Raw genomic sequence first — 21740 nt, 5'->3', positions numbered from 1 at the left:
AAAAACACTGGAATACAACCTAGGCAATACCATCTTGAACACAGGATTGGGCAAACATTTTATGACAAAGACACAGAAAGCAATCACAACAAAAGCAAAAATTGACAAGTGGGATCTAATTAAACTTAAGAGCTTCGGCACACCAAAAGAAACTATCAACAGAGTAAACACACAACCTACAGAATGAGAGAAAATATTTGCAAACTATGCATCTGATAAAGGTCTAACATCCAGCATCTATAACTTAAATTTACAAGAGAAAAACAAACAACCCCATTAAAAAGTGGGCAAAGAACATGAACAGACACTTTTCAAAATAAGACATACATGCAACCAACAAGCATATGAAAAAAGCTCAATATCACTGATCATTAAAGAAATGCAAATCAAAAACACAATGAGATACTATCTTACACCAGTCAGAATGGTTATTACTAAAAAGTCAACAAATAACAGATGCAGGCAAGATTGCGGAGAAAATGGAACACTTATACACTGTTGGTGGAAGTGTAAATCAGTTCAACCATTGTAGAAGGCAGTATGGTGATTCCTCAAAGAGCTAAAAGCAGAACTACCATTTTCTAGCAATCCCATTACTGGGTATATACCCAGAGGAATATAAATCATTCTACCATAAAGACATATGCACGCGAATGTTCATTGCAGCATTATTCACGATAGCAAAGATCTAAATGGAATCCACCTAAATGCCCTTCAATGACAGACTGTATAATGAAAATGTGGAACATATACACCATGGAATACTATGCAGCCATAAAAAAAATAATGAGATCATGTCTTTTGCGGGAACATGGATAGAACCGGAGGCTATTATCCTTAGCAAACTAATGCAGGACTAGAAAGTCACCAATACCACATGTTCTCACTTACAAGTGGAAGCTAAATGATGAGAAGTTATGAACACAAATAAGGAAACAACAGACACTGGGGTCTACTTGAAGGTGGAGAGGGGGAGGAGGGAGTGGAGCAGAAAAGATAACTATTTGGTACTGGGCTTAATACCTGGGTGATGAAATAATCTATACAACAAACCCCCATGCCATGAGTTTACCTATGTAATAAACCTTCACATGTACCTCTGAACCTAAAATAAAAGTTAAAAGTAAAAGATAATAACTCAAGATACGGCATAAGACAGTGTACATAAGGTCAAGAAAGTGGGAAAGTCAAGTACACAGAACACTCTGAGTCCAGAATAGGGAGAGAGCCTCATGGGCTGGAGGAACTGAAAATCTTGGTGTTGAGCATTGAAGGATGGAAAGGATTTTGAGAAGAGGAGAGGAGGAAGAGAAGGTGGAGGAAGATGAAGGGCACTTTAAGAGGGGTGACCAAATATCTTTAAATTAAGCTAGATGAACAGATAGTATATGATTGTACTTATATGAGATATCTAGAGCAGTCAAATTCACAGAGACTGAAAGTAGCCCTGGTGGTTGCCAGGGGCTGGGAGGAGAGGACAGTGGGATCTGTATCCATTCTTTAATGGATACAGAGTTTAATTTTGGGAAGAGAAACTAGTTCTGAAGATGAATGAAGGTGATGGTTTCACAACAATATAAATGTATGCAATGCCACTGAACTGTACACATAAAAATGGATAAAATTTTACATTTTGTTATGTATATTTTACAATTAAAAAAGAAAGCTTGTGGTAGCCAACCATCTATCCACAGAGGAGTAGAGGTGAACTCTTGAGGTCTCTTTTTCTTCTACGACTCCATATTAACTGTAGGTGTGGTCCATGTGATGGCAATGTGAAATGATTAAATATAATCTATTCCTGGACTGCTGCACTTCAGGAAGGTATTCAATGGCTGTGGTTGACTACCCCACAGCTTTTCTCCTCTTCCTTCTTTACACATAAAGTCCACTTCCACCATAGAAGCCAATCACTCACTTTTCCCAACTTCATCACTTTTCCCAGCTTCACTGAAGGTAGAGCACAGGCACAGGGCCCTCTCCTGGCCCGTGGTACCTAAGAAAAAATCTGCTAGGGGGTATATTCTTAGAAAACTTTTCCTCCCTATTTTTTAAAAAAGAGAAAGAGCACTCTAATGGGATGGACTCTTTCCCTGTCTTCCTTTGGATGTAGTTGTGTGAAGACATAATGTTCGGCCAAAGATGGCTTAGGCGGCCATCTTCACCCACGGTGAGAAACTAAAGGAGAACAGATCAATTCATCAAGAATTGTAGCAACTTTTGTGCTGTATTAACCACCCTCAGAAAATAGACCCCTCATTGTTTCAGCCACTTTTAGTTGGGTATTGTGTTTACTTGTAGCCAAGATCATTACAGTAGACAGACTATGGTAGTACAGAAATAGCTTTGTGATGCATTGCCAGGAGTCTATATTCAGCTGGAGTTTATTCTTGCCTCCAAAAGACAAAGGTGTTTACTTCCCTTTTTCTTCACTGTATGATAGGCAAAAGAAAGAATACAAAGAGCAGGGTGCAAAACCAAAAAAGAACATCTAGCACTGGGTTTGAGAAGACACAGGATCATCAGGAAATAAGCTGATAGTAATGAAGTAAATAGCCAGTATTTTGCCATGTATTGGAGAGAATCAGATTCTCCTTTGTAATGGAGAGAGGTTGTATATAAAGGGAATATTGGGTAAGAGTATAAACAAAGATGGAGGACTCTGAAGATGATAAGGGCCCAGAAGCAAGCAAGCACTATCCGGTGGAGACTGGAGAAGGATACCAACAGCATAGGCTAAGAAAAGGATCAGGCGGTCCAAAGAGAAACCCAAGGTCTACACCAGAACCTTGTTTTTCTCAACTCAGCTCTATAGGTTTCGTAATCCACAGCTAAGCTTTTTACTTTTCTTGTAAAGACACAAGTTAAAGTGTCCCTCAAGCTATTGGTAGGGATAGATATCAAGTCTATGTGTGTCTGCTTTCTTTTTATGTTTGTTTGTTTGAAATGGAGTCTTGCTCTATAGCCAGGCTGGAGTGCAGTGGCGCGATCTCAGCTCACTGCAACCTCTGCCTCCTGAGTTTGAGTGATTCTCCTGCCTCAGCCTCCCGAGTAGCTGGGACTACAGGTGTGTGCTACCACTCACAGCTAATTTTTGTATTTTTAGTAGAGATGGGGTTTCACCATGTTAGCCAGAATGGTCTCGATCTCTTGACCATGTGGTCCACCCGCCTCAGCCTCCCAAAATCCTAGGATTACAGGCGTGAGCCACCATGCCCAGCCACTTTGATTCTTGAAATAGAGATTCTGGTACTCTTTTATCAGAAGGTTTTTCTACCAAGGTAACCATCTTTCTGGGGATATTACAATTTGAATACTTATTAAGCACTTTTATTAACTAGAAGTTTGACTGCTATCTCCAAAGTTGATCAGACAGCCACAGCCAAGAAAGGGAAGACAGCTCCATCTGTCCATTAAAGATGCTGGCAGCCCTGAGAGAGAGGTCCAGGCAGGGGCAATCTGTCACATCTCAGCTATACATGTCCTGTGGCACTTTAAACAGGAACTAAGGCACTGTGCTAGGCAGCTGTCCCCGAGGAATGGGACTCCTTAACCCAAGGCAACTAGAATTAAACCACTTATATTTGCAGAAAAGAAGAGATGTATTCCTTAGCATGACCTACCTCCTTCCTCATGCTCACATACTAGTTTTTGTTTTTTATTTATTTACTTTTTTCATGGATCCTCAAGTTCCCTGACAAGAAGCTGATCTTAATGCTTTGCAAAGGACCATGTAAAAAAACTCAGAGCCATGAATGAATGCATACAAATATCCTTATAAAATGGAAGCCCCTGTGAAATATGGCTGATCCCACCCATCAGGGATTGGTAAACCTTCCCACAAGGCTCAGCTTGCTTTAGGGCTAAAAATAGAATTAGAAACTTCAATTCATATCATCTGATTCTGATCAAGTGCAGTCTTTTGGCTATTCTCTCTGCATTCAAAGAATGTATTATTATTCCCCTGATAGTACACAAACTCTATGAGTTGCAGACTCCCAGTGGAGATATAAGCATTTGCCTCTGGTGAAAATGAATTTCCATGGAAAATGTGACAAAAGAACTACCTTTTGGGTCTCACATAAATCAAGTTTTTGATTTTGTTTTTGAGACAGTGTCTCGCTCTGTCACCCAGGCTGGAGTGCAGTGGTGTGATCTCTACTCACTGCAACCTCTGCCTCCAGGGTTCAAGTGATTCTCCTGCCTCAGTCTCCCAAGTAGCTAGAACTACAGGCACGCACCACCACACCCAGCTAATTTTTGTAATTTTTTGTGGAGACTTGGTTTCACCGTGTTGTCCAGGGTGTTCTCGAAATCCTGACCTCAGGTGATCTGCCCATCTCGGCCTCCCACAGTGCTGGGATTACAGGCATAAGCCACCACACCCGGCCAAGTTTTATACCAGAAAGCCTTTTCTCATTAAAGCTGTTCTTTCGGTAAGTGGTCCTCAAAGGGCTTGTGTGGGTCTTGATGGTCCTTAGGGCCTTCCTGGGGCCCAAGGCTCTATTCTGTTTTATACATGTTTTTTAAAGTGGGTGTATTAGCTCATTCTCACACTGCTCTAGAACTACCTGAAACTGGGTAATTTATGAAGAAAAGAGGTTTAACAGACTCAGTTCTGCAGTTTTAACAGGAAGCATGACTGGGAGGCCTCAGGAAACTTACAATCATGGCAGAAGGCTAAGAGGAAGCAAGCAGATCTTAACATGGAGGAGAAGGAGAGAGAGAGAGACAGCAAAGGGGGAAGTGCCACACACACACTTTTAAACCCCATCAGATCTTGTGGGAACTCACTCACTGTCATGAGAACAGCAAGGGGGAAATCTGCCCCCATGATCCAATCACCTCCCATCAGTTCACTCCTCCAACACTGGGAATTACAACTCAAAATGAGATTTGGGTGGGGACACAGAGGCAAACCATATCAGTGGGTGATATGGAGTAGCGGGAAGAGCACAGAGTTTGACCTGGGTTTAAATTAGGAGTCTGCTGCTTCCTCACTGTGATATTAGACACATTAACTCATTTCTCTGGGCACTTACCTTGTAGGGTTGATGTGAGACAATATATTAAGTAAAGTACCTAACATAACACAAAAAGATCAGATTATCAAAGTGGATTCACATAATAGAGATCTTACCCAGTATCACACTTTGCTAATAATTTCAATAAAACAAGCAATTACAAATGAAGCAGGGAGTGGCTTAGGACCCATGCAGTGTCCTGAGTCCTTCCATGCCACATCAAGATATTCTTCCCCAGATTAACACAGAAGATCTTCAAGCCATGTATGTGGCACATCACCTACACAGAAAAGAACCATCAATAAATATCTTCATATTATACTTAGATAGTTATATAATTGACCTGACCTTTTCTCAGAACCCATACCCAATACAGGCATAGATTCAGATTTGTTACAAATGAGCAACCCAGGCAGATCAGGTACCTCCTTTAAAAAGAATTCTATAGATAAGGACCCTGCACTAGCAAATATCATTAATGTGTTTATCTGGAGGCCTGTCATTAGTATGTTCATGTGAAGATTTGATTAAGTTACCTTCCTTCCTTCTTTCCCATGGACTTCCCTTTGGTAGCAAAAAAGAATGAATTGTAGACCTTTTGTTTAACATTTTCTACCCAGCACCTAACCCAGACTAGGACTTGGTGTACAGTAGCTTTTATCACATTATTAAGAATAATAATGATAATAGAACTGCACTTACACTTTCATTTCCACTGACTTACCAGGTCTTGCATGATTTCAGCCTGTCTCCTGCCACTACCCATTGAGGCTTCACTTCCCCCGTTGTGTGGGATTCTTATTTCTGTCTTTCCTCCCTTGTTCTATTCCACTCTTCTACCCATCTTCCAAGGACAGTCCAAGTGCTCCTTCCTCCTGCAAACTTCTGAGCCTACATAAACCCTTTTTGATATCACCCCTTTCTACCCTCTATAATCCATAATCTAACACTGAACCTAGAGTGTCCTACACTGTACTCTTTCTTACTTTTGCATGCATGATATTCTTTTTTTCTCCAGATAGATTATCAGCACCACTAGAGCTGAGAGTGCTAACTTAATTTGAGTCACTTGCACAAGGAGGTGTCCCTTGAGCCACCTCTCCAACAAATGTGGCCCCTTGGTATTGGCTCTATTAGCATTCACTTGCCATATTGTGATGATATCATAATTTCTTGTAATGCTTAATTTAATTATTGTCTTTCCTTATGGGCAGCAAACTCCAGGAGGAAGGGTCTTTTCTCTCTTGCCCACTCATATCCCTAGTGCCTGACTCAGCACCCGGCAAAAGTAGATAATTAGTAAACATTTGTTGAAGAAATAGGTTTTCTAGGGTAAAATGAGGTACAGTGAAGAAGCTTATTAATTTACATAATGAACATATGGAGTATCTACTCTGGGTGCTCAGGTTGCAAAGATGAGTAAGACATGATTTCAGTCATCTGGTCTCTGGACTGAAAAAGTTTGAGTCAATTTTTTTACCACCACTGTTTAGGTCTTCAGATATGTACAAAAGAGATTTGCAGATAAAATCAACCAAATCCTATTAATTAAGCCCAATTAATTACTGAAAGGAGAGGAGAAAATTCAGAAGAACACAGCTCTGGAAGGGCACAGGTGCTCTCAGGAAGAATTCTTGCCCCCCGTTCCCCTTCCTCTGGTTCAGTTGGCCACCATACGCACTTTACTACTGGCCCCCAATTCATTTGAAAAGTAGTCCTTAAACTGAGCTTTAATTCAGTAGCTACTACATCTTTCTCCTGCCCCTCACCTCCATTTTCCTTGTGGGCAGTACTACATTTGTGTAGCTATATGCTAGGACCCATCTCTGGAAACCTACTTTTAGAATCAGGCAATTAGAATAGCATTCCAACCTGTTTCTAACAGGTTTGGCCACCAACATAACAAATTCAAAGCTACATGCTAATTAACTATATGTTCAAACCAGATAATAATATATATTTAATTTTATCAATCTTAATATCACCCTTGTAACAAAAGACATCTATTTCCATTGCCTTTCCTAAGTCAGTGCACTCGAGGGTTTGGTCCAAGGCAAGTCCATTCTCCAGTCTTCCGAGAAACAAGGAGAGCAATAAACTTGGTGGGGTATTTTTGTTAGATTTTATGGAAGCCAAAGAGAACCTCTAATAGACCAATCTCTCAGCTCCTCCTGAGAGAAGGGGTTGGAATTATGGAACAGAAGCAGATGGATTCATTGATGATATTTTCTCAAGTATAGAAGGTGACTTCCTCCCTCCCTCCCCTTCTTTCTTTCCTTTCTTCCCTTCTTTTTTTCTTTCTGTGCCAAATAATTATGTCATGCAATTCATCAATACCAACATCACCAGCTGCCTTCAGCCATACAGCAAAAGATTGATTCTCTCAAAACAACCTGCTGGCTGCTTCTTTTTCCCAATTAAATTTTCTCCCTCCTAATGCTCCTGTCTTTTTCTTCCCTCCTGGAAGGTCACCTCCAGGTCCCTGGTGCACCCTTTAAAGCCTTTCTCCATTCCTTGCCCTCCTCCATTGCCATATGTTAGTAACTATTTCTCTGCCCTTCCACTACACTGGAGCCCTTGGAGGCAGGATCTGTGTCTCATTTGCCTTAGCATCTCCCGTGCCTTTAAGAGGGCCTGGCACATGGTGAGTGTTCAGTAAATGTTTGAATCTAATGAATACATTAAAACAACGTTAAATCAGTGAACAGTCTGAGAGGTACAAAAGAAGTCGGTTTAATGATTCAGATTTGAGCACTTCATCCATCTGTGATAAAGGAATAAAAAGCAAGGGATTCTATAACCTATAATACCTCATCCTGTGAGTTAAGGGCAGCGGAGAGGCAGTAACAGCAAGGGACAATACAGATTTCAACTGTGCCTTATGTAGTCTTTGGGGACAGTTGGACAACACTGATTTAAAGACCTGAACAATCATTAGTCAAGAAAAACTTGGGGGAAAAACACAAAAAACCTCCTTCAACTGGTTTCAATCAAGCCAATGTAACCCCCTTCCCATTTTTCAGAAGTCAGCATATTGTTCCCCCTCTTTATAAACCATTTGGAGCTCTGACCAATGATCTTAGATGGTTCTGTTTTTTTCAAATACATTTTAGGACCATTTCTAATGCATTCATCTGAATTGGAAATGCAGGCACAAAGAACTGCAGTTGCTGAGAGGCCTTTTCTGCCCTCCTCCCTGATCTGTCTGCAAGAGTCTGCAGCCCACAGGTCCATGTGGAGGGCTTGATTGGGTGTCCAGAAAGAATGTGAATGTTATTAATATGGTTTGGCTGTGTCCCCACCCAAATCTCATCTTGAATTCCCACGTGTTGTGGGAGGGACCTAGTGGGAGGTAACTGAATCATGGGGGCAGGTCTTTCTCGTGCTGTTATCATGATAGTCTCACGAGAGCTGATGGTTATTATAAGGGGGAGTTTTCCTGCACAAACTCTCTCACTTTTTGCCTGCTGCCATCCATATAAGATGTGACTTGCTCCTCCTTGCCTTCCACCATGATTGTGAGGCTTCCCCAGCCATGTGGAACGGTAAGTCCAATTAAACCTCTTTCTTTTGTAAATTGTCCAGTCTTGGCTATGTCTTTATCAGCAGCGTGAAAATGGACTAATACAGTTATGAAACCAGAACCTCAGAGTTTTGGTGAGAAAACAGTCTTGAGAGGTCCCTCTTCCTGATGTGCCTGTAAGTGAGTTAGCTGGACATCTAAAAGTGATGGAACAATCATTAGTCAAGGCTAACTTAGACTTGAAGTAAAATCTGTCTTGTACTGTAAGCTCAACCCTGTGATTCCTAAAACCAACCACCTGGCCTGCTTCCAGACTGCACAGCCTAAACCACAGAGAAGGTGGAAGAAATTTGATTATCTGATTTTATTAGTGCCCCTCAGTGCACAGTCCTAGCCTCAGGCTCCCAGCTATCTAAGACATTCCCTTAGTTCATCCTCAGAATGTAAACATTTGCCTGATGGATAAGTAGTTGGCATAAGCACATTAAGTCCCTCAGAGGAAAGATGCTGTCATATTACTTGACACAAATTATCATGACATATGTACAGAAATAGGATCAGAAAATTTCAGTGAATGTGATTTATTTCTTTCGAGTGCCCTCAATTTCTCATCAGAAGCTCAAAGTGGATTTGCAGACTGTTTGTTACTGGAGTTTCCAAAATTCTTCCTCTCTCCCCCAGAAGGGTGGGTGTTTTATTAGAAGCAATAACAATGGCAATTATTGATAGTGCCATTATCAATAATTATTTATATGGTATTATTACAATTAATGAATCTCTACCTTGTGCCTGCTGCTGTACCAAAGCATTTTACGTTAGTTTGCTAGGCCTGTCATAACAAAATACCACAGACCAGGTGGCTTAAACAACAGAAATTTATTTTCTCACAGTTCTGGACACTAGAAATCCAGACCGAAGTGCAGGAACATTCCATCTCTGATGAGGCCTCTCTTCTTGGCTTGAAGACAGCCACCTTCTTGCTGTGTCCTCATATGGGCTTTCTTCTGTGTACAACTGGGAAAGAGAGAGAGACACAGAGAGAGAGAGAGAGAGAGAGAGAGAGAGAGAGAGAAGGGGGAGAGAGATAGAGATCTCTGGTATCCTGTTTCTTCCCCATTTTATAAGAATATTAGTCCTGTTGGATTAAGGCCCCACTCTCATGACCTCTGTTAATTTGATTACCTCCATATAGGGCCTAACTCCAAAAACAATCACACTGGAGATTAGAGCTTCAGTGTGTGAATTGGGGAATTTAGAGAGGGACACAATCAGTCCACAAGAACCTTACTGAGTCCTCACCACAAGTGTGGGAAGCCAGGGGCATTCTCTACATTTTATCAATGAATAAACAGAGAGCTCATTAATTTGCCCAAAGTCTCACCACCAACAATAAGTTGTTAGCGGTGTTGCTCTTTCTTCTTATTGAAGAGAAGTGGAGTTATGGAGCACTCATCTGCATAAATATGGGGGTTGCTCATAGCAGTGTCAGAAGGAAACTGGCAGGTGGAGACTAGAGCAGAGCACTGAACCCATGGGCACTCTGTTCAGTCAAACAAGTCATGGGTTACTCTGCTGAGTTCTGGGGAGAGAGAGAGACAAAAAGACAGTCACCGTCTTCCAAGAGCTCGCAGTCTCAGCAACAGTGAAGGAGGTCTTCCCTTCCAGGTCCTGATCTGGATAAATGTGTAAAACAGGCAAATGACCCCTTCATCCCTTTCCTTTTCTGAGGGGTGCTTTTGGGTCCGTGTTTGGTGCTACACTCCTCAGAGGCCATGTCTGTCAGAGGCCACCTCCAGCCTGGGAGCTAGTACCCCAGTTCACCCAGACTCTTCAGTGATGGTGACCCACCTCTTATCCTTCCCTCATCCCCTACCCTACTGTCCAGACATTTTATTGGTAGTCTCTGGAGACTGATGGCTTATAGCACAAATTTCAGGCACCATGGCAGGCAGTGTGGTGGGAATCATTTGATGGTAGGTGGGTTTGTCAGTGAACATCAAAACAGTAGTGAGAGAGACAGCCTTCATCCTGAGCTTTTCACAAAATAGACTGTTCCTGCTATGGCACAGAATTATGCTAAAGGGTGTATCACAGACCCTGTCAATGCTCTGCTCACATCCCTTAGGAGAAATCAGCAAAGGACGGTGTGCAGGCCAGCTCCCTTCTCAAGCCATGTGGTTGGCAGACCCTGTGGGAGCCTTCCGGGACCCACCCTTCCATCCTCTGCACAGCCGCTAAAGGAGGGTGAGGAGCCCACACCAGAACTGGTCTGCTTGTGAGATGCCTGAAGAGGACAGTCCCAGTTGATTGTGTTTTCTTAACTGTAGACTCTAATCTCTCCAGGTGGAATCTTAATTGAGGCTGGCCCTGCCAGGGCATGTACAGGGTCCTGGGAATTCAACAGAATGAATTCAACAGAATGCATGGGATCTGATGTCAGAAATGCCTTGCTTGTATTCTGACCATATCACATATGAGCTATGTGGTGATTTAACTTTTCTGGGTCTTATTTTCCTCATATGTAAAATGGGAGAATAACCGCCACATCAAAAAACCATTCCAAGATGATAATAATAGCTAATAAGATTCGGAGGGGGGGCATGAAGTGACTATAGCTCAGCGACCCTATGAGGGTATATCATAGATCCCCAAATCTCTGGAAACCAGATGAGTTTTGCAACTCAGAATGCAGAATTAATAAAGGCAACAGGGTGCATATGACAGATATTACAGAACACCCACCAAGGTCTGGGGTGGTCCCTTAGAATCAAACCCAATATTTCTGCACCCAAAATAGAAAGATTTATATTAAGCAAGTAAAGCCTATAAATAGTTTCAATTTGAAGTCGCAGATCAAGGATTGTGGCCCAGTGAACTTAAGCAATTGGCTCAATATCACATACCAAGTTTTGAACCCTGAGACCAGAGACTCTGCTCTAATTACTATAGTGCACTCCTGCAGTAATGAAATCCTCTCACCTGAATCAATGAAGACGTTAAGGGATTTGGATCTGATTCACAAGAAGGTGAGAGCTGCTTTTTGTTAATATCTTTAATAAATATATATGGATTATTCCTCCTGGAAATAAAATTAAAGATATGGTTGCATTTGATATATTAATGCCACAAAGTACCTACCTACAAAAAAATAATAGCTGCTATTTCTTGAAAATGTGCTGAGTAAGTTACATATATTCATCACATTTAATCCTCACAAGAGCCCTAAGAGATAGATTTTATTAGTATTGCCCCCTTTTAGAAATGAGAATAAGGAACTTACCCAAGGTCACCCCAAAATAAGTGGCAGGGCATTAGATCCAATTGGGTTCTGTCAAAGCCTGTGCCCCTTCCACTCCACCACCCTGCCTCCAAGGGGCAGTGTATGTTGCTGACCATGATTATGTGGTTTGCCTAAGGCCATAGGCAGATCCAGTGTCCAGAGCACTCAGTACCTGGGCCTCGTGACTTTAAAAGGCCTGGCAGTGATTGACTTCCACTTAGAAAAGCTTTGCAACTCAATATCATCTCTTTTTGCTGCCTACTCTTGCCACTCTGAGAAAAGAACAGTACCTAGTGTTCACAAGAAGATGTAACAGAATTGATCGGAAAGAAAATTTTATCTTATTCCAGTCCTGTTCATAGTGTTGTACCAGTCTATATTTAGATAAATGCTCCACACAGCCAAAGAGGCAATAAAAGCAAGTTAAAAAGGTACTAGGTTCATGCCAGGAAACAATAAGGAGCTGCAAGTTCTCATTCTTTGCCCAAAGAATGACTATTTAAAACACAAGAGACAATAAAAACAAGCAGTCTCAGCAAACACAACGGTGCTTTCAGGTCTGGGGCATCTCATCATCTCAGGGCAGTTGAAGAAAAATAAGGATGTCAGAGCCCTCTTCTGTTACAGAAATGAGGCCCTCAGTAGGGAACCCATACAAGTCTCAGTCTGAACTACTTGTAAAGGCAGAGAAGAACACTGATAGGAAAGTCATGGGCTGGCCTGAGGGAGCTCCTCAATGCCCAGAGGATCAGCTACTACCCCAGAGACCAAATTTGAACTCTAGTGTTTCAGGAAGATGAAAATGAGTTTGGGAAACAATTGAGGTTTATTCATTCATTCATGGGTTTCAGGGTTTGATGAGAAACCAAGGTCCAAGCTCCCCAGTCCTTTTGAGAGCCCCTATTCTGGGCTACCCTAGAATGCTGTGATTCTTGCATTATTTATAGCAATGTATGTTTCAATCATTAACTGTCTTCCACTGCAGTTATTTGTACACATTTTTCTCTTTTCTACTAAGTTATAAACTCCTTGAAGGCAGAGAACAGTCCCTACTTATTTCCTAGTCTGTAGATGCTAGCATGGTATCTATTAAATTGAGATTTTTTAAATGGACCTATGTTGCTCAAAGCCTTTTTCAGTGATACCTTCTATGGGTTGAGAACAATAATGCTTTTCCAATCCTGTGAAACATCAGATTTCTGGACTCTGTCTAGACTGTTTAATTTCTGCACTCATGCAAACGAGTTCTTAGCAGAGCACATCTGTCTGGTTATACCTTGCTGAATACAATAAGTAATAGCCAGCCTCTCCCCTGGAGATAAAGACTTGTCAGGCACTGGGCATGCCTTTTAAATAATCACCAGCAACAGATTTACCAAATGCTCTGCCATCTCTTCCACAGGTCTCCATCTTCCCAGCCTTTGATATCAGTGTCTGTGCCACCCACCATCCAACTGCTGAGTCGATGCAACATATCTTAGGTTTTTCTTACATTAACCTCCACTTCAAAGTGCCAATTTCTAAATTTACCAGGACAATTAACACTAACAGCTATAATAAACAAAACCCAGAATTTTAGGGACCTAACCCAAAATAAGTTTGTTTCTTCCTTATAAAACAGCCCATTGCAGGTGTTCCTGGGTGACAGGTAGCTGTCTCCCAGGTAGTAATTTAAGGACTCCAGGCTCCATAGATCTTGTGGCTTCACCATTTCCTAGGGGCTCTTTGTTTTCTGCTTCCAGCCAACAGAAATGGAAAGAGACAGTAGGGAAGTCCTGTCCTTTTCTAAAATCTTTACCCCAGGAGTGACACACAGCTCTTACATTCCACTGTCTCCATGTTATATGTACACACCTACATGCAAGGAGAGGCAGGGGCTGTCTCTGCCACTACAGCTAATAATAATAATAGCTAAAATATATTATGCATCTTTGTTGTGCAAATTGTATACACTAACTATATTATATAATATATACAACAATCCTGAAAAGTAGGAATTATCATCACTATTTTAGAAATTAAAAAATACTAAATATATATATATCAATTTCTGAGCCTTGGTGACTATATATACTGTACTATACTATACCATATATATAAAAATATATATTCTGGGGCTCAGAGAGGATAAGTGACTTGCTCTAAGTCACCCACTCAGTAAGCAGCAGGTCAAGATGTGAACCCAGACTTGCATCACACTTAAGCCCCTTCTCCTTCTTTTGGATCATGGAACAAGAGATACATGTGCTTTGAGACTGGAGGGTAGGAAGGATTCAGGACAATGACTCAAGCTGTATTTTGAAAAGTAAGTATCCGACCAGCCAGAGTGGTACTGAGACTAGAGGATGACGTTTCCGTAAAGGTGATGAGGCCTTTGGTAAAAGTATGTCTATGGAAGACTTAGAAATAATTACAGTGTTTAGACAGAATTAATCAAGGGTCTTAGGAATATCCAAATCATTTTGTAAACCTCAGCCCTCCCTCTCCAATATGTCCCTGAGGGAGCTGTATACTACAGAAAATTGGTCAAGAAAAGAAAAGCAAGTGTCCTATTCTCAGCTGAAGTCAGTCCCCTACCCACAGTGCACAGCCCTTGTAAGCTGGGCTGGGACACCTGAGCAAGCCTGGAGGATCAGAGATGGAACACCTTTTCTCCCCATAAGCCCAAACTCAACTTCAACATTTCACCACACCTCATCTGCCATAAATGAAGACAGAAATCCAAATAGATGAAAATGCTTGATCAGACAAGATAAGAGCAAAATTTTGGCTGGGCACATCCTAAGCAAGAGAGCCCTGGCTTTCTCCCCATTCAGGCCACATGGAGGAAGAAAGGAGAAGAAAAGAGAGTTAGGTCTTTAGACTGCTTCTATAGCACACATGAAAGAGGGACAGGAGATAATACATCTTTGTACGTGACCTTTTTGTTTATATCAACTCTACTGAGGTATAATTTACATGAAAGAATATGCACCCATTTTAAGCCTAAGTTTGATGAGTTTCAAAACTATAACCAGACATGGAAACACCACCACAATCAACATATAGATCATTTCCATCATCTTTTGCCTGAATTCCTTCATGCCCTTTTGTGTTACATACCCTCCATCCCAAGCCTCAAAAAACCATAGATCTATTTTGTCATTATAGATTAAATTTGCCTTTTCTCAAGTTTCATATAAATTCATATAGCATAAATGCTTTGGGTTTTGACTTCCCTCATTCAGCAGAGTGTTTTGTGAGTCACCCATGTTGTGGTGTATGTCAGTAGCTTGTTCTTTTTATTGCTGAGTAGTATCCCATTGTAAAGATTACTACTGTTTGTTTATACATTTACCCATTGATGAATATTCAGGTTATTTCTAGTCTGACTGTTATGAATAAAGCTGTTATAAACCTCATGTACAGGTCTTTGTGTGGACATTATGCATGACCTTTTAGTGGGCAGCAACCATTCTACTGGCAAACATGGTCCAGTGTCCTAGAGTGTCATCAATCTATAGCAACTCTGCCCCACAGGATAGGGTGGAGGGTGGAGGACTGGGGAGCATGATGGGGAAGCATCGCTTCTCTTCTACAAACCTGACCTAGAGCTCAATAACATCCAAGGGAAATGCACATGAAACCCATTGAATTCCATACATTTTCCTCCTATTTTCTCCCTCACCTACTTCCTTCTTGCATTTGATTTTTTTTTTAATGTTTAACTTTGAGCACTGGAAATAATGACTGTTTTTTCCGCATGCTATCTAGTACCCTCATGAATGATTTTGATATTTCATTTATTATTAAATATGAGATCTACTTTAAGTAACCTGGCACTTATTAGAGGAGTCACCACCAAAATGTGGCCAGTTGCACCAGGGTCACTCCACTCTTCTCCTCCATCTCCGATAGTCTCTCAAACACTGTGGCCCTGAATCTGCCAGGGGAATATGCCATTTTCCATATGGTCTGCTGTTTTAGGTGCCTAAAAGGGGGAAGGGTCTCAATACCTCACATAGGTCTGCTCACCTTCCAGAAGTGGGATTAGCCAACAAATAGGGCCTTAGCCATTGTATTTTTTCTTAGAGAATAAAAACAAACAAGTAAGAAAACAAAACACAACCCAGAAGAGCATTGACGGTTACAGTAGGAAATGTAATAGAAAAACACAATGAAACATGACATGCATACATATATAAAGATTTAGATTGATATCAAAGACTGGTGGACTGTGGGTTGATAAGAACCCACCAACATATTTTGTTTAATCTGCAGTGTTTAAATAAAATTGATATTTTGTGAAGTTAAAAGTGGGGAAACTTCACCAAAAAATTTCACACACAAAAGTAAGAATATCTGGCAAGTACGCCCATGTTGCCACTTCACAAGAATCTGCTGGAGCTTCACAACAGCTGCTCCCTTTGGCCAAGCTCATTTGCTGTGTACACTCACATCACTCCAGTGTATTATCTACCTGGCTGTGGCAGGCACTTTAGTTTGCAACCCTTGCATTAAGGCATCACCCTATTAAGGAAGAGGCAGTGGGCAGACACACTTCACTTTAGGTGCGTAAAAGAGGGAAGGGTCTCAATATCTCACATAGGTCTGCTAACCTTCCAGAAATAGGATTAGTCAACAAATAGGGTCTTAGCCATTATACTGTTTCTTAGAGAATAAAAACAAGCAAGCAAACAAACAAACAGAAAACAACCCAGATGAGCACTGAAGGTTACAATAGGAAATGTAAGTAGAAAAACACAATTAAACATGACATGTGTACTCATATAAGTCATTCAGTTCGAGAGCAGCCTGGTCAATATGGTGAAACTCGATCTCTACCAAAAAAAAAAAAATACAAAAAACATTTTTTTCTTCACTGACAAGGATACGTATTTTCTGAGATGGAGACAACATGTGAAATAGTCAAATCCCAAGGCAGGAATTCTTTTCTTCTTTCTTTCTCTTCCTTCCTTCCTTCTCCTTTTCCTCTTCCTCCTCCCCATTTTTTGGCAGCAAAGAATTCCACTTATTGAACATATTACAAAAGAGGTTTTCAACAAAAAGACCAAAGTCCATGCCATCAACAGACTCCTCAGAATCTAGGCGTTTTTAACGTCCGATGCTTTATCCAGACACTCCTTCCCCTTCCTACTCCCCTCAGTGAGCTCTGGCCTTCACAGCCTGCCCAGGGAGCTCCTACCGCTAAGATAACTCCGCAGTGTGGCTCTCATGGCCCCTCCCTCGCTGCTAAATAGCCGGTCATTCTGGGCCAGGGAAGCAGACCTCCCTGGCTGGTGCCCACAGCTCAGAGGCCTCTTCCTGAGGTGGCTCCGGTCTTTCTTCCTCAGCTGATTCTGCCTCTACAACAAGAGAAAACTGGAACTTTCCACAGTGCCTGGCATTTTCATAGCAATATCATAAAATTACGAAGCCTTGTGGTGGTTCCACCAGGAGCTTAGGTCTCCCCTAAGCTCCAGATTTATCCATCCACTGTCCACTAGATTTCTTCTCCTCCATCTCCGATACTATCTCAACCAAAACTTTTCCAAATATATAGCTGTAATCTTACCTTGTTATCCCCGCAAAGTGAACCATGTTTTAACTCCTGTATTTCCTTTTCTTACAATTTTCCTCACAATGACCCAAGCCAGAAGCCTTGGAATCATTCTAAGTGTCTCTATCTTATTACATCTACTTTCTCACATCCAAATGGTCATGGGACCTACTACAAACCACCTCCTTTCTATCTTTCATACATCGGCTCCTCTCCATCTTTAGTGTAACTAACCTCATTCAAGCTCTCACATGGGATGTTCTGAAAGTCTCCTGATTATGTGCTTATGTCTGGGCTTGCCTGCTCCAACCCTCCACGTTCTACACATAGAACAGTGAGAGTGACTTCTAAACCAGGAGTCTGATCATGGTGCCCTTCAGCTTAAACCCTTTACTGGGCCCTCTGTTTGGACAATGGATACAGATTATGGTTCTTGGTGACCTATTCTTAGCTTCTGGCCTAGTTCTCTAGACCTGCACTGTCCACATGTGGCTCCTGAGCACTTGAAATTGTGCTAGTCCAAACCAAAGGATGCTATAAGTATGAAACACACACCAGATTTCAAAGAGATAGTAAAAAGAAAAAAGAGTCTAAAATATCTCGTTAATAATTTTTATATTGGTTATGCATTGAAATGAAAATATTTGCATATATAGAGCTAAAAGCATATTATTAAAATTATGTATTTTCTTTTTAACATCTTTTAGTGTGGCTACTAGAAAATTTTAAATTACATATGTGGCTTGCATTATGTTCTAGATGTTTTCCTCATCATACCTTTCTACCCTCCATCCTGCTAAACACCAGGCATGCTAAATGACTGACAGTTTCCTACAGTAATCCATAGTATCTAGAATTTTATACAGTCCCTTTTAAGTGAAAATTAAAATGGCCTTAACTATCACACCCCATCCCACCTGTGATGGTTTTAAGATATTATCCATAAATCCTTTTGATACTCCCCCCTTTCAAAAGGTAAACTTGAATACACCTCCCCCTAGTATGGACTAGACTTGGCAACTTGCTTCTAATGAACAGAATAAAGCAGAAGCATCAGTGTGTGTGCTCCAGGATTAGGTCATCAAAGGTGTTGGATCTTCTCTCTCTCGTGCTCTCTCTAGCTCTCTCTCACTCTCTCTTGCTCTCCCTCTCTCTCACTCTGGTCATTCGCTCTGAGTGAAGCCAGCTGTAGTATCATGAGGAGACCCAAGGTGTCCTGTAGAGAGATCCACATGGCAAGAAAGCAAGGCCTTCTCCTGCCAACAGCCATGTGAGTGAGCTATCTTGGAAGTGGATCCTCCAGCCCCAGTCAAGCCTTCAGATAATGGAAGCCCTAGCTAATATCTTCATGGAAACCTCATGAGAGACCCTGAGCCAAAAAGCTGCTCCCAAATTTCTGAACCACAAAAACTATTGTTTTAAGTAGCTGAGCTTTGGGATAATTTGTCACACAGCAATAGATTACTAATATACCATCCATACCCTATATCTTCCCCACCCCAACTTCCACCCAAGAACAGGAAGAGAGAAGAGAAGCTGCTAAGAACTCTAACTTAGTTTTGCCTACTTAGATGTCAAGATTTGATTCAAAGTCATCTCCTTTATGAAGCCTTTCATCAGAAACCCCAACCAATTCCCATGTGTCCATAACATTTTTTTAAAATTTAGAAATATTTTAATACATTTTGAACTTTGTGTCTTAACTAAACACATATTTTCTGTTTTGAACTTTCCAAAAATGTTTTTTTCTGAATATAAAAGTGATAAATACACATGGCAGAAGCTTTGGAATAATCTAAAAAGAAGAGAATTTAAATAATCTGAAGTGCAACCCCACTGAGGAAAACACTGTTGATATTGTTCATGTCCCTCTTTGCATACATTTTGTATAGATAAGAATATATTTCATATACAGTTTTGCATTCCTCTTTTCTCATGCAATGACCTCACCTCTCAGTTCCTTGACTAGTCCTGACTTGACTAGTCAGTACTACTCAGTTCTCAGACAGAACTACTCAGTTCCTTGACTAGTACTGACTTGACTAGTACTGAACTTGACTAGTACTGACTCCTGGGTCAAACTCTAGTCTATACCCTTACTACTCAAAATGTGGTCCATGGACCAGCTGCACTGACATCATCAGACAACTTGTTAGAAATGCAAAATTTCAGATCCCATCATGGTCTAAACTCAGGACATTTGCACTTGCTGTTCCCTTTGCCCGCAAGGCTGGTCCTCTAGTTATTTGCATGACTCCCACCCTCACTGCATTCTGGTCTCTGCTCAAATGTCACCTGCAGAGAAAAGCCATTCTTGGTCACCCTAACTAAAATTGCATTCCTGTCACACTCTATCCCCATACCCTGCTTTATGTTCTTCATAGCATTTGTCATCACTTGACATTATTTTATGTGTATTCATTTGTTTATTTTCTTCCACAAATATTTGTGGAACACCCACTATGTATCAGACACTGTTCTAACTTCTGGGAATATAGAAGGGAACAAAATAAGGTCCTTATATCCCCCACTGTAATATAGGCATGCTTATACAACTACAAATTGCTAGTTATTATTTCATGTTTTTTAATTTATTCATTCCTTCAAGAGACCTAATCCCCACCATCAACAGAAGGCTCCTTGCCATATCCCATGACTTAAATGCACCCTGAACATTCCCCCTTCTCTTTTAGAGAGAACTTTTCAATGTGCTTTTGTGCTGTGCTAAGTTTAACTTCTTTTCAGTCCTAATGAATTGCCCCAGTACAGCTTCCCTGCAGTGGAAATTTCCCTTATTTGATATAAGTCTCCCACTGCATAGCTGGTGTTTATCTTATTCCTATGCAATTTATCTAAACCTAAAGGATCCCCCAAAGTGAGACCAAAAAAAAAAAGTGTTATCATCACCATCACCATTAGCAGCAGCAACAGCAGCAGCAAGATCAGGCCTGAGAAATTTTTCAAAGGGTAAAATTGTCCCCCCATCTTTTCCTTTACCTTTGCCGTGGTTTGAATGTTTGTCCCCTCCAGACCCATGTTGAAATTTAATTGCCATTGTAGTAGTATTAACAGGTGGGATATTTAAGAGGTGATTAGACCATGAGGGCTCCACCCTCATGGGCAGGATTGGTGCCATTATAAAGGGCTAATTTGACTCCTCTTGATCTCTCTTTCCCTTCTGCCTTCTGCCATAAGATAAAGCAAGCAGGCCCTTGCCAGATGCTGGACCCTTGATCTTAAGCTTCCCAGTGTCAAGAAATGTGAGCTAATAAATTTCTGTTCATTATAAATTACCCAGTCTCTGATATTCTGTTACAGAATAACAGAAAATTAAAATGCTCTTTAACTATCACACCCCATCCCACCTGTGATGGTTTTAAGATATTATCCATAAATCAAAAGGATTTATGGATAATAATCAAAAGGATTTATGGATAATAATCAAAAGGATTTATGGATAATATCTTAAAACCATCATAGGTGGGATGGGGTGTGATAGTTAGAATAACAGAATATCAAACAACAAAATGGACTAAGACTACCTTCTTCATACCCTGCTAAACATCTAGGTCCTACTCCTTGGAGGACTGGCTCTCAGCTAGTTATCATGTATTCTCTCCCAAGGTGGCAACCTGCACATCAATGGGAAGAGTTTGGAGGCTGCAAAGGGAAGGATCATTGATAGATTATTGTATGCTGGGCTTCATTTATCCTCACATAACCATTTCAATGTGTGAGGAAAACACAACCCTGGAAGGACACACTTTGTCCTTCATTTTACAGATGAGAAACTGAGACTCAGGGAGATTACACAACTGTCCCATGTCACTGTTGGTTTTCTGAAGTCAAAACTCTGCCTTGCAAGTCTCTTGGGCCTCAAAAATTCAAAGGAGCACAATTCTAATGGTGGATTAATAAGGCCCATGATGGGAGGAATATGTTGTTGTTGTTTTTAACAGGGGTAGAGGTGGAAGAGGGTGATGAGCGTGAGGGTGAGAAGGAAAGATCTATGTGGCAAAATCTTTCAATTATAGGATCACCAAAATAAAGAGCTAGAGGGGATCACAGATAGTATCTGCACCAACTCCTTTCATTTTGTGGGAGTGGAACATTATGGTCCAAAGTGGATGAATTCTATTCATTTATATCTAAACAATAGAGAATGTACAATCCAGAAAAAAGCAACATTCTTGGTTATATTTATAGGAACCAAGTTTTCTAATGATCTCACTTGGGATGGGAGAAGAGATGACCAATTTTTCACCCAATATTCAAAACCACAGCATCCCCATCTGTGGTCATCAACAGAAGTACAATCCACAATAATTGTATAATTATGTGAGAGGAATTACCATTTCTAAGTAGAGTTTCCAA

At 40.9% G+C, this 21740-nt stretch overlaps 1 protein-coding gene across 1 annotated transcript in view; it reads right to left on the bottom strand.

Moving 5' to 3' along the window:
• The window catches only part of TSEN15 (tRNA splicing endonuclease subunit 15), a 45756-nt gene continuing 31781 nt past the window's right edge, over window positions 7766–21740 (bottom strand). Inside the window, exon 4 of the mRNA NM_001363643.2 lies at window positions 7766–9561. Within this exon, the coding sequence (NP_001350572.1) occupies window positions 9447–9561 (115 nt within the window). The 3' untranslated portion in view covers window positions 7766–9446. The remainder of the gene's footprint in view (window positions 9562–21740) is intronic.

The sequence above is a fragment of the Homo sapiens genome, chromosome 1 (genome assembly GCF_000001405.40).
Source record: "Homo sapiens chromosome 1, GRCh38.p14 Primary Assembly".
In the NCBI taxonomy this organism is placed as follows: Eukaryota; Metazoa; Chordata; class Mammalia; order Primates; family Hominidae; genus Homo; species Homo sapiens.
This window is presented reverse-complemented; position numbering and strand designations above follow the sequence as displayed.